The sequence below is a fragment of the Homo sapiens genome, chromosome 2 (assembly GCF_000001405.40).
Source record: "Homo sapiens chromosome 2, GRCh38.p14 Primary Assembly".
NCBI lineage: Eukaryota > Metazoa > Chordata > Mammalia > Primates > Hominidae > Homo > Homo sapiens.
Window position 1 is genome coordinate 179,509,201 of NC_000002.12, and position 13,658 is coordinate 179,522,858.

Consider the following 13,658-nt stretch of genomic DNA (forward strand, 5'->3'; position numbering starts at 1 on the left):
TTTTTAAACTTCACATTTAACCTAGTCTTTTCTTTTTTTTCATTGATAAGTTTAATATCAATCCTAAATTATCCAAATACCCATTTAAAATAAGGTAATGCTGAGAAAGGCTGTGACTTTTTAAATAATATTATAGTGCTGCTTTGGAAACAAGTTTATATTTAATAAGTGACTACTATATGCTTCAAAAAAGATGACTGAACTTTGTTATGAGCTTGTTAAACAGCCGCTATTGAATGAAACTTTTAGCACAATATGTCCCTGCTCCCTGTAATCATGCTATAATTCTGTCATATTGAAGCAAAAAATGTTCATCATTTTGTCAGCTCTGTCTGCAAAGCAGAGAATTACCTTCCCAAGTTCCTGAGATTTATGCTTTTAATTACCTCCTATCTGCTTCACTACTCTTTAAACCTAAGAATCAATATAAATAGTCTTATTTATGGCAAAAATGTAAAATGTTTGACAAAAGCAGGTTATCATTTTCTAGATTTCCATCTGATGCTATTGATTCTATTTTCAGTATTATATTTCTTGACAGAATCAGTTGGTTTTTTCAAACTTACAGTATTATTCATTTATTCAACAATTTGTACTGCTGAACAGCAGATGTAAACTTTGCAACTAGCTTTTTGGTTCCTAACCCAGCAATGAAATTATCACTACTGTGGTTATCTCTTTATTTAATCACCTGCTGCAGAGTTCAGTTTATATGTGACTTTCTCCAAATCCCCTTATCATAAGGTCACTTTTCTGTGAGGGTCAACTTCCTTGGCTTATTTAGGTTTTGCATGAGAGGCTACTATTTGCATGGGTGAAATCTAATAGCTTAGTCACTAGTATTCTTGAACATACACACACATATACATACACTTTATATGAAATTGTGTATATACAATCTAGAATTATATAAATATGCTACAAGTGTATACACTAAAGAAGCTGCTATCTATCTTAAGGGATTTCAAGAGAAATGCAGTTGATGTGTATGTGTGGCCTGCAGTGAGTGTGTGTAGATATACATGTGTGTATATATATGTGAATGTTCATATATGTGAATATGCTATCTATCTTATATGTTCATATATGTGAAGCTGCTATCTATCTTAAGGGCTTTCAAGAGAAACACAGTAGATGTGTATGTGTGGCAGGCAGTGAATGTGTATATGTGTGTATGTGTGTGTACATAGGTGAATGTTTATATATGTGAATATACATATATATATAGGTGAATGTATAATATATACATAAAAGTGAATGTTCAAAGTTTTTTTTTGACAAACCCATTAGGGTAAACTACCATCAACTACAGAGTATCTGAATATTCAGAAAATATAAGGTAAATTTATTTTTTAAATAGTATGTTGGTTTGAGTTTCAAGTAACATGCTCAATATATTTTTTAACCCTCTAAAGGCCTTTTTAAGTAAAATACCTCTGATTTAAAACAATGAATCCAGTTGTTAAGCTAAAAAAACTTCATAAATAAATTACAAATGTCCAAGAAAGACAGGGGAAATTGCATTTGTTGCATTTTTGTGCCAGAAAAAGAGGAACAAGGGATAAAGGAGAAGAGTTGGAGGAGAGAGAGAAGAGAAAATTGAGTAGAGAAGAAAGGAAGAAGAAATGTGATAGTTTAGAAGAAAACACAGGGGAAGAGAAACATAACATGCAGATAGAATTTCTAGAGTTAAAAGCAAGCACCAGGCAGTCAATAGCCAAATGTGGAATCCCCTAGGAGAATGTTACATAATGACAAATAAAAAGCTTGATCCTTCAGAAAACCCAAGTGGGTACCCTTGCAGCTGTGTGCCTCTTTTGCTTTTGCTGCAAGGGACATCTTCAAACATGGTGTCTAATGGGGTTCCTGTTTCCCAGTTGATCTGATTTCTCAGGAAAAAACATAGCTGCTGCAGGGACTTGCTGCCTCATGGCAGCTGGTGGAGAGAGGTGGAGTTAGGTCTGGTGGCAAAGGAAGATGCAAAATCAGCCAATAGCGTGTGGAAAGGGAGTTATGTGGAACCCAAAGTTGTGGCTTCCTTCCTAATCTCTTGACTGCTGAGGTCTCTGCTGGGTGACAGAGAATGCCAGCGCCTCTAGCAGAGACAGCACTAAGGCCTTCTAAATGGCAGATGGTAGATGGGGAAGTTTGTTCAGGCAAGACAAATATGAGTTGGTATTGTATTATATTAACTGCTAAAGAAACCAGGAAATTGGAATAAAATTAAAACCAAAGAAGAGATATAGGCAGAAAGACCGAGGAGGGCATAACCTAAATTGCCTTATCCAAATGAAAACTGCTGAGATGACAGACACAAAATGCATAGTGAGGTGGTATTATGGATGTACCAATTACACACTAACTGTAGCACATGGGAATTGAGGGAGGTCATTGAACGACTGCAGTTTCTGAAATCTTATAGAGATTTATAGTAAAGAGTAGCACAGTCAGGTCACCCACAGAAATGTTTATACAAGTGGTTGATTACCCTACCATTTTAACTTCTAAGCAAACCCTTAATATTCTGTCTATTTGTACTTAATCATTCTAATGTAAATCAATGAAATGGCATGAGGTTGTCACCTTATGTCTTCAGACATGAGAAAATAGAGCACAGCAAAAAGAACAGAAGGCTAAAATGAGAGATAGGGATATTGGATAACCTGACACCAAAAAACAAAATAAAAAATATCAACAGATCACAAACCTAGAGGTACCATACAAAATAAAATATAAACTCTAAGTGATTCAATGTTTATTATGTTATTCAAAGATAATAATGTAAATTTGAAAAATCAAATGGGCTAGCTCCAAATGAGTAATAAAAGCCTATGGGGTCAACATTTAGGGACAATGTATCTCATGCTTAATTACTTGTGGTATTAATGCTGAGTACCAAAATTTCAGGGTCAATTCTGACTTAGAGTATATAAAACTTGACTAAAAAGATCACCATGCTTTCATTTTGATTTGCTTATAAGGCATAAAAGACTCAGAAATACATTAAGGGTATTTATAATAAACTGTTCTGAGATCAATATTAATAATAATAATAATATAATCTCTGTTTTTAAACATTTAAGAGAATCAAGTTGCCCTGTTTTGTGTAAGAATCTGTTTAAGAATTTGATTTTGATTCAATTTTGTATAAAGATTTGATTTTGTGTAAGAATCACTTTCTTTCATCCTTCTGCTACTATCCTCCAAGGAATTGAAATGAATATGTAAATTAGAAATTATTTGGGATCTGCCAATTTCAACTTAGCCAAAATGAGATAAATGTTAGTCTCAAAAAATTTTCTGAAGTGTATGTTAGCTCATTTCCCCGGCAAAGCTTAACTTTGGAAATGGCATTTTCCAGCTAAAAGATCAGGATTCAGATTTAGGCTTATCAATTTATGACCATACTGCAGTTGCAGTATACTCAGTTACTGGAGAATAAAGAAACATTCAGGGTTAGACAGCCCCATTCAGCTTAGATACACCATGTTAGAAAAAAGGTGGTCAAGAAGAAAGCAGGGCTTGAGGTGATACACACATTTGTGCAAATGTCTGGGACTCAGTTGGAAAGCATATTATTCCTGGACTGCAATGCCTGCTCCCTGGCAAAGTTAATGGTGTTAATTTGTAAAGGTTCATTTGGGAAATGTTTGTGATTAATGCTTGCTCATTTACATAACTGTGTATTGTGTAAATAAAGCTGTAGCATTTTGCTTTTCAACAGGGTAGTTCTACTGAGATGATATAAGCTAGACAAAGGGGGGTACAGGAACTTAAACTAGGTCATATTGAATTTTAATGCATGAAGCCAACTCTGGTACATTTTATATGGATAATGAAGAACCGCAAAATGCAGTCTGTTTACTGTGCATCTGCCTTCCATATTTTTCAATAAACGTATTTTCTACACTGAAGAGTGAAGCCAATTTCAGTTTCAGGCTGATTTAGAAATGTTATTAAAAATAAGGATGAGCATCTTCTTAATTCTTACATTAAAATGTAAATAGGGTAATTATAAAATAATAAACTCCCCCCCAAATAAAAAATGCTCAGTTTCAGAGCTTGGTTATGCAGATTATAGCACCATTACTAAACACTGAGAACAAGTACATGTCACATTTGTGAATTTGCCATCCAGACTTTGTGGCTTTACTGCCCAGAGTCTAAGAATGACTCAGAAGTCTAATTTCTTTCTTCATTATCAAAGGAACTTTGGAGCTATAGCAAGGAGGCTGCTGGTCATATGCTTATGTGTGCACATATGTCCACATCCCTATTAGTAAGTACAAAGAAAATGGCTGACATCAAATGGAGCTTAAGACAAAAGTGGATGTACTCCTGGAGTAATTGTGGGGCTCGAAAGAAATTCTTATGCCTTCCACAACCCAACCCATTACACAAATAAAAAACAAAATTCATAGTCATTCTTTCTGGGTCTTAGCTGTTGACTTGTAAGACGGAGATGTTTATATCCTATCCTCCTGACAGAGGTACTGTGGAAATGATTTTTAATTATGGAACTTCAATGGTCCTTCCAAAGATCATGTGGTTCATTTTAGGCCACATTGTAGAGATTAGCAAAGTGCTTATCATACAGGAGGAGTTCAGTAAATGCTTAGGAAATGAGTAAAGTTTTGTGAGGCAACATAATATAATAGGAAGAGCTGTGGATTTAGAGGCAAGAGATCCAGACTTATGTCCTAGCTCTGCCATTTATTGACTGAAAATCTAGGAGATGTCAAAAGATGAGAACCAATTTAAGTGTCCACCTGTAAGGGATGAGTTAAACTATGAAACGTGCACAAATAAACTACTGTATTAGTTTTCTGTTGCTTTCATCACAAATTTTTATAAACTTAGTGGCTTAAAAGCTTATTATCTTACAGTTCTGGAGGTCAGAAGTCTGGTATGGATCTCACTGGGCTAACATCGAGGTGTCAGCAGGGCTGCATTCCTTCTGGAGGCTTTAAGGGAAAATCCATTTCTTTGTCTTTTCCAGCTTCTAGAGGTTGCCCACATTCCTTGGCTTGCGGCTCCTTCCTTCCCCTACAAAGCCAGCAATGGCCAGTGGACTCCTTGTCAGATAGCATCACTCTGACTGCCTATTCTGCATCTCTCTTCTACTTTTAAAGACCTTGTGATTACCTTGGGACCATGGGATGATCCAGGACAATCCTTTTATCATGAGGTCAGAATATTAGCTCCCTTAATTCCATCTACTACCTTAATTCTGCTTTGCTATGTAAGATATATTAACAGGTTCCAGAAATTAGGATATGGGCATCTTTGCCTACCACATCTATAAAAAGAGTATGGGAGCTCGCTATGTTCTGATAGAAAAAAATTCTTCAGCATATATTGTTACATAAAAAATGCAAGGCAAAGAAGAGTGTCAATAGTATGCTACCATTTACATAGAAAAGGGAAGAAATAATATGTATTCATACTTAGTTATATTTGCATAAGCAAGCCCTGGAAAGATATAAAGATATGCAAAAAAATTAAAGTGATTACAAATAGGGAATGACATGGAGGTTGGGAAGATGAGGAAAGGGATAGTTTTTTCAATGTGTGGTGGTTTTTTTTTTTTTTTTTTAGATGGAATTTTGTTCTTATTGCTCAGGCTGGAGTGCAATGGTACAATCTCAGCTCACTGCAACCTCTGCCACCTGGGTTCAAGCGATTCTCCTGCCTCAGCCTCCCAAGTAGCTGGGATTTCAGGTGTGCACAATCACGCCTGGCTAATTTTGTATTTTTAGTAGAGACAGGGTTTCACCATGTTGGTCAGGCTGGTCTCGAACTCCTGACCTCAAGTGATCCACCCGCCTCGGCCTTCCAAAGTGCTGGGATTACAGGCGTGAGCCATTGCACCCAGCCTCAATATGTTTTTTAATATTATCATGATTTTGAACTATGAATATGTTATTTTTTAATTTGAGAGATTCATAATTGTCCCTAAACCCCTATTATTCAGTCAGTGTTCAACATCTCTTGTTTTGAAGAATCTATCTATCATCAACCTTGTTATTTTACTCTTCTTAAATTAACTCTTCTAATAGGCAAATCCTTATTTGTGAGTGGCTTTAAACCAAGCAGTTCTCTATTACATTAGTGGACTTCATAAAATGGTGCATCTTTTGCACGATTTTTGCAATTTAATTCTGAAATCTATTATTTGCATTGTACTGAGAGATGTTTTCAAGCATCTGGCCTTATGGCACTGAGAATGCCAGTGTTAAAGATGCAGCATGTCTTTAGGTGGGCATTTGTTTTATAAGTGGTCAGGTAAGTAGTAAACATTTTCATGTCATATTTATATAACAACAGACTTTAATTTCTCCGTATAACTCTAAAAATTTGAACAATAACTGAGCAATACTGTAAAATTTACTTGAATCTATTTCAGTATTTATTATTGTGTCTATTCTTACAAAAGTCTTATCATACTTTCATTCTAGTAGTAAAATTGTAGTTTAATATACTTTAGTAGTTATATCTCTATCATAAATTAGTCTCCTATTTATAAAATATTTTGTGGCTCATATCATTAATTTTTTTCTAGTTAGGTTTACTAAGGTATACTCTATATATAGTAAAATTTTTTTCAGGTATTCAGCTTAATGAATTTTGAAAAACAAAGACTGTCATGTAAACATCACAACAATAAAGTTATAAAATATTTTCATCATTCAAAAACGTTCCTGCATTTCCCTTTCTGGTCAATTCCCTAACTTAACCCTTAGCCCCTGTTAACTACACTGATCTGACTATCCCCATAGTTTCATCTTCTGCAGAAAGTTATCCGAGTGCAATCAAATGGCATATAGTCTTTGTGTCTTACTTCTCTCACTTAGCATACTGTCTTTGAGATTCATCCACATTGTAGCATGTATCAGTACTTTCTTTTTACTTTTACTTTATTTCTATTTACTTTTATTTCTTTATTTCCATTGTATGGCTTTAACATAGTTTGTTTATTGATCAGTTGATGGACATTTGGGTCAATTCCAGTTTTGGGCAATTATGAATAAAATTAAGCAGCACATATGGATTAATATATGTTTTCATTTGCCTTGGGGATATACTTAGAAGTGGGACTGCTGGATCATATGGGAAACGTATGTACAACTTTATAAAGTTTCTTATTAATAATTGCTAAATTGTTTTCCAAAGTGGCTGTACCATTTTGTATTCTCACTGACAATGTATGAGAGGTCCAGTTGCTCCTCATCCTAGCCATTTGATCCTATCAATTTGTTTAATTTTCACCATTCTAATAGGTGTAGTGCTATCTGATTTTGGTTTTACTTTGTATTTCCTTAATCGTTAAACATGTTGAGCATTTTTTTATGTGCTTATTCATCATTCATATTTCTTCTTTGGTAAAATGCCTGTTAAAATTGTTTTCCCATTTTATCATTTATTATTGAGTTATAAATTATTTATATCTGTATGCAATTTCTTAAGCAGATACAAATACTTTCTAGTAGTCTATAGCTTGTTTTTTCATTTTCTGAACAGTGTAAAAGTGTCTCTAAAGAGTAGAAGTTTTAAATTTTGATAAAGTCCAATATATCAATATTCACACTTCTTTATTTTCTAAGAAATCTTTGCCTAATGCAAAGCCAAATAGATTTTCTACTGTTTTCATCTAGAAGTTTAATAGTTTTTTTAAAGTTTTTATTTTATGAATGATCCTATTGAATTAATTTTTATGTTTTGTATCAGGTAGTAGTCAAGGCGTTTTTTGAATTTACATATGAATACGTACTTCTTCTAGCACTGTTTGTTGAAAAGATTAGCCTTTCTTCATTGAATTCACTCTGCAACTTTGTTGAAAATCAACTGACTATATTGGTGTGAGTCTATTTCTGGACTCTGTTCTGTTCCATTGATCCATGTGTCTACCATTCTTTCACCAGTTTCACAGTCTTGATTATTGTAGATTTTAGAGTAAGTATTAAAATCAGGAAGCATTAAGTCTTCAAAATTTGACCTTTAAAAAAATGTTTTGACTATTCTAGGGCTTTTCTTTTCTATGTATATTTAAGAAACAGCTTGCCATTTTCCATAATAAAAAAACATTTTGAGATTTTGATCAGGATTGTGCTGGATCTATAGATCAATTGGGGAAGAACTAACATCTTAACAATATTAAGACTTCAAATGAATTAACACTGTATATTTCTCAGTTTATTTAGGTACATTTTGATTCCTGAACATGAAGTTTTATCATGTACCAAAAAATTCATTGGACTTTTGATTAAAATTATATTAAATATAATTTCATAAATCATGATAAACATCTCTTTTCCAATGACTATGATTTTTTATTATGCTTCCTATGTAGAATTATCGAAACATAATTTAATGGTATATGCAAACAAGAGAGATTATTATTTTAGTATTTCTAAACAACATTAATTCTGTAACAAGCTCTTTGCAAAATGGCTACAGGGGTCAAGTAACTCAGGAAATACCACATATTATATGCAGCCTTCGGATTCTGATTTACATCGGTCATTGGCTTTACTTGGTAATTGGATATTGCAAATATTCTAATATTGTTTATTTTGCTTTCCTGCTATTTTGTTTATAAATTTAAAAACCCATTTTCATAAAAGAGAGTGATTTGTTCCATTTTCTTGTTATCTTTGTTTAGCAGGATGGTTATGCTTGACAGATAAAATAGTTTATGAAACTTTCTCTATATTTTATGTTCTGGGAAAAATATAGGAAATTAGTAATTCTTTTAGGTATTTAACAAAATTTGACACAAACATGAAATGTGGCAATTGATATCAAATAGTAAAAATGGTTTTCTTCCACATTTATTGCATTTTAATTTTTAAAATCTCTTCATTGCATTTTAAAACTTTTTTCATATTTTCTGATATTCAAGCATTTTTGACAAGTGAATATAATTAGTGAGATTAATTGTAAAATGGTATAGTTGAGACTGATTGCATAGATAAATTCTTAATTTTTGATCTTAGCCACTTATAGACTATTGTCTATAATCCTCTATTGGTTTTAAAATTTGTATTATTTTTTATTGTTGTAATGTTATTCTAAAAAATATTTTCGATGTGATCTAGGTTGAATCCATGGATATGGACCCTGTGGATTCAGAGGGCCAACCATACTCTATTGTTCAAGTTTTAGGCATTGAACCCAAATCCTTTGGAAATCTGGCATCCTGAAATTAGTGGGCTACCAATAGGAGTGGCTGCTACAGTATGTAAATATGAAGAAATGTACGTATTTAGATCAATCAGACTTTTAGCTCTGACAAACTACAGAGAATAATGAAAAGGTGATACTCACATCTGAGTTAAAGCGAAGCTGACAGACATTACAAGAAATAACTTGTTTCTTCTTTGGGGGAATGGATACTCCAAATGTATGGTTAATAACCGCTTTTTGCACAGGATCCATCTGAAGAACAAATGAAAAAATAGTCAATTTGTAACTTCAAAGAAAAGACAACAGTGTGAGCAAATAACAGTAGTTGAAATATTCCATAAAGTTTAAACTTTTAGTTCCTAAACAAAGATAATAAAGAGTCTCCTTCAACAGTAATATATTTGTCTCCAAAAATTAAAAACAAAAACAAATGACAAAAATGAAAACAAAAAATGGCTTTGAAAACATAACTCAGAAAAAACCACGAGAGAATCACCATATTTCCAGAAACCTAATGTCTCTAGAAGGAGCCTTGAAAAACCTTAGAAGAATCATAAAACAAGAAAACTTAAGATCCAAAGGTCAAGGTTAAAATTAACTTTTATTTTTCTTGAGACAGGATCTTGCTCTGTTGCTCAAGCTGGAATGCAGTGGCGTGATCATAGTTCACTGCAGCCTCAACCTCCTGAGCTCAAGTGATCCTCTTGTTTCAGCCGCCCGAGTAGCTGGGACTACAGGCATGTGCCACACTATGCCCAGCTAAAAATGTTAATGTTTTCCCTGTATGAGGCAACAATACTTAAGATGGCCTCAAATGATGTCAATGACAATTATTACACATATATTTATGCTTCTTAATTTTTGATTTATGGTAAAGTCATAAATGACAGGCTCTTATCAGAGCACAGAAAGTATTGACTGAATATATATTTTAAAATAATTTGTTAACTTTCATGTGCTATAGACTGAAATTCATTCTACTGAAAATGCATGTCAGAACTGTACACTTAAATGCCTAAAATAGATTGGCTGACATGCAACCCTTGGTTAAATATTAATCAAGTAAAGTTTTGATTTATAGCTTGTGATTTTCCCCTTTTGGCTTGCATGTATTATATATATTCAGAGAAATATACAGTGATACAAGTACTCCAACAGAAAAAGTATGGCACATAGTCATTAAAACACTCAGGAAAAGAAACACCTAGATCTGCAGAGCCTATGAAAAGAGACACAGCAGTGATTCTCTTGTGTACTCCAGATAATAATCTCCAACATTTACATCAGACAACTGGTAGTTCAAAAAACAATGCAGATGATGAGCAAAACATTACATAACAGATGTAATATGAATGAGGACAGATCTATTGATACCATTGTCTAGGAAATCTCCTGAGGTTAGAGATTAAGATTGGATTAGTTGATGATATTTGATAGAGAGGAGAAATGAATACTATCTCTGATCATGATTATAAATCGACAAAATGCAAAATTAGCCATTAGAAGAAGCTAAATACATTAGAAAGGCAAGTGGATTGAAGAGTTATTGAATAATAAATTAATCTATTTTTTGGCTACAATTTCAAGAAAGATGACAGGACAATGTATTCCTATTATAAAGAACAGTTATGGTGATTTGGGACACTTAAAAATTTTAAGAGGGTTCCAGGTGCAGGGGCTTATGCCTATAATCCCAGCACTTTGGGAGGCTGAGGCAGGAGGATCACTTGAGCTTAGGAGTTTGAGACCAGACTGGGCAACACAGCAAGACCCTGTCTCCATCTTAAAAAAAAAAATGCTAAGAGGGGAGTTTTCTGGAGAGATAGCCTAACTATAATGTGATGGTTACACAAATCTATACATATATTAAATTCATAGACCTTTCCCCCTCAAAAGGTCAATTTTATATATTATAATTTAATAAGTAAAAAAGAAAAACCTTCTTAACATTATTATGTTTAACTACTAAATCTAACATATCATTACTGGAAAATCTAGGGATTCATACTGTTGAAGGTCATAACTGATTGTATTAAATTTTATTCAATGAGAATAATAATTTAAAAAACTATGTGACAAAGAAAATCTCAAAAGGTCAGAAAATAAATTCCTAGTTCACTTTCTTATTTTATTCACAAACACAAATACTTAAATCCCATCTATCTATTTGCAAAATAGGAAACTATACTTTCTGACAGTTACCAGACATGGCGAATCAGTTTATGCAGGCTTAAAAATAAAACAGGCTAACTTATCTTGGCAGGATGAAAGAAGCCCACTGTTTTGCAAAGTTAAAAAACAAGAGCATTTTATTGAGATAGTTTCTGATCTCAGGCTCTGAAAAATACTTCCCATCTGGTGATATGTGAACTACATGGGATTAAACTATATGAATATTCCCTAAATACCGGTTTTATGCATGCTATTTTCATTATTTTTTGCCATATCCATACACTAATATTTTTCTTTAAATCAAATTGAAGTACACTTAAACAATAAATCATAGAAATAATGTACACTTTCCTATTACTCCTTTCAAAAAATACATTGAAATTAACATCAAAATTAAAACTTTCCTCAAAGTGAATCCACATATCCTAGCTGTTTCCATGCCCAAACATAGAAAGACAAAAGATACATTTACGAATATCTAGTTTCAAGTTCTTAGTAGACTATTGTATCTATTGACATCTCCAAAAAAATCTTTGAAAATAAATATTCCCATTAAGTTTTAAAAATTGTTAGCTGCCTACATAATTTTTTACATAACTCCTAATACAGTTTTTTTTGTTTTTGTTTTTGTTTTTGTTTTTGTTTTGAGGCAGAGTCTTGCTCCGTGGCCCAGGCTGGAGTGTAGTGGTGCGATATCAGCTCACTGAAACCTCTGCTTCCTGAGTTCAAGCAATTCTCCTGTCTCAGCCTCCTGAGTGGCTGGGATTATAGGCACCCACCACCGCACCTGGCCAGTTTTTTTTTTTTTTTTTTGTATTTTTAGTAGAGACTGGGTTTCGTCATATTGGCCAGGCTGGTCTCGAACTCCTGACCTCAGGCGATCCGCCTGACTTGGCCTCCCAAAGTGCTGGGATTACCGGTGTGAGCCATTGTGCCCGGCCCCTAATAGTTTTATTCTGCCCAAATCTCACATTTGCACCACATTGGCCTGAAAATATGCCTTTGTGTCCCCAAGGCTGAGAGCTCTCCATCCTGAAAGGTAAGTTGAGACTGAGCACTCCAAATAGAAAGGTAGGCAAGTTTCCATCCATCTGCTCTCTAAAAAGCACCAGATTAAGAAGGTTCCTTCATGAAACTCTCCTCAGAATTGGCTCCTCCAGTTTATATATGTAATCCTAATTTTTCTCATAAAATCAACTAAATAAGCACAGCCCTTTTACACTTTCTTTGCTACTTGTCATTAACTTTTTCTGCCTTTTCATCCTTTGGATAACTTATCACTAATTGTATCAAGATTGTACCCCCATCTGTCTCACTTGGAACAGATTTCCTTTATTTTCCTCTTGATTCTGTATTTCCTTAAGGTTTCTGGAAAAGATTCACTTTTTCTTCTAGTCTAAATCTCTTCTTCTGCTGTTTATTATTAAATTCTATAGTTATATTTTTATATTTAAATGTCATTTTGGGGGACATGATTTAGATGATTTAGTTGAATAGAGACTTTAATTGGAATAAAAAAGAATGCCCCACTTGTCACTTTATCTGATTTTGAAACAGACACTGTCAAGCTAATGTTTTGAGTATTTGCCCTCTGATGCAATAACTACAAATACTCGAGTCATTTCAATGGGATCCAAATGTGACAGTAATGAAGAGGGCTTTCAGATACCTTTTTAAAAAGTATAAAGTGGTAAAATTCTCAATTTTTGTTCTCAGCATTAGTACAATGCTCTAAAAGCTAGATAAAATAACTATGATGTTAATTTATGTTAACTTAAATTTTTTCCTTTGCTAGTGCATTACTAGTTCTCTGTAGTCATAATGAGATGCATGTAACTAAATCGATGATAATTCTTTTATTCTATCACTAAGTTTCAGGATGAATAAAAAGTTCAGGATTAATAAAAACATTATCATAAATCTTAAAATGTGATAAATGCAAGTAACTCATTTTAGTACAGTCAAAACTATGTTCTATATCATAATGATTTCATGTGTAGACTACTCAAAAATTACTGGAGGTACTGCAACTACATAACAAATTCTGATTTTTAAAGATTCATTTGGCATTTTATAGACATTCGATTGTTAAAAATGAACAAGTACTTTCAAAAATATTTCTTAAATGTTTATAATATATCTTTTACATTAACAAATGTCTTATTAAGTAGTCATATTAAATTAGCTCATGTTAGTTCACATTGTGCAAATAAAGCTGTCTATGGATTGAGAAAAGTATAATTCATTAGGAAATAATACTAAAGATGCTTTTTTAAAGAAAAAAATACCCTATCACATAG

General features: G+C 33.2%; 1 protein-coding gene across 21 annotated transcripts in view; it reads right to left on the bottom strand.

Annotated features, from left to right (window-relative positions):
• The window catches only part of ZNF385B (zinc finger protein 385B), a 419,631-nt gene that overhangs the window by 67,219 nt on the left and 338,754 nt on the right, over positions 1 to 13,658 (bottom strand). For 20 of the 21 annotated variants that reach the window (NR_148057.2, NR_148054.2, NR_148056.2 and 17 more), the window contains one exon: positions 9,328 to 9,438. Coding sequence is in view for 14 of the 21 variants with exons in the window: in NM_001352816.2 (NP_001339745.1) it covers positions 9,328 to 9,438 (111 nt within the window). In the remaining 7 variants the exon portion in view is untranslated. Of the gene's footprint in view, positions 1 to 4,884; positions 5,047 to 9,327; positions 9,439 to 13,658 lie in introns of all 21 variants that reach the window. The other variant, NR_104234.2, reaches the window with a different exon arrangement.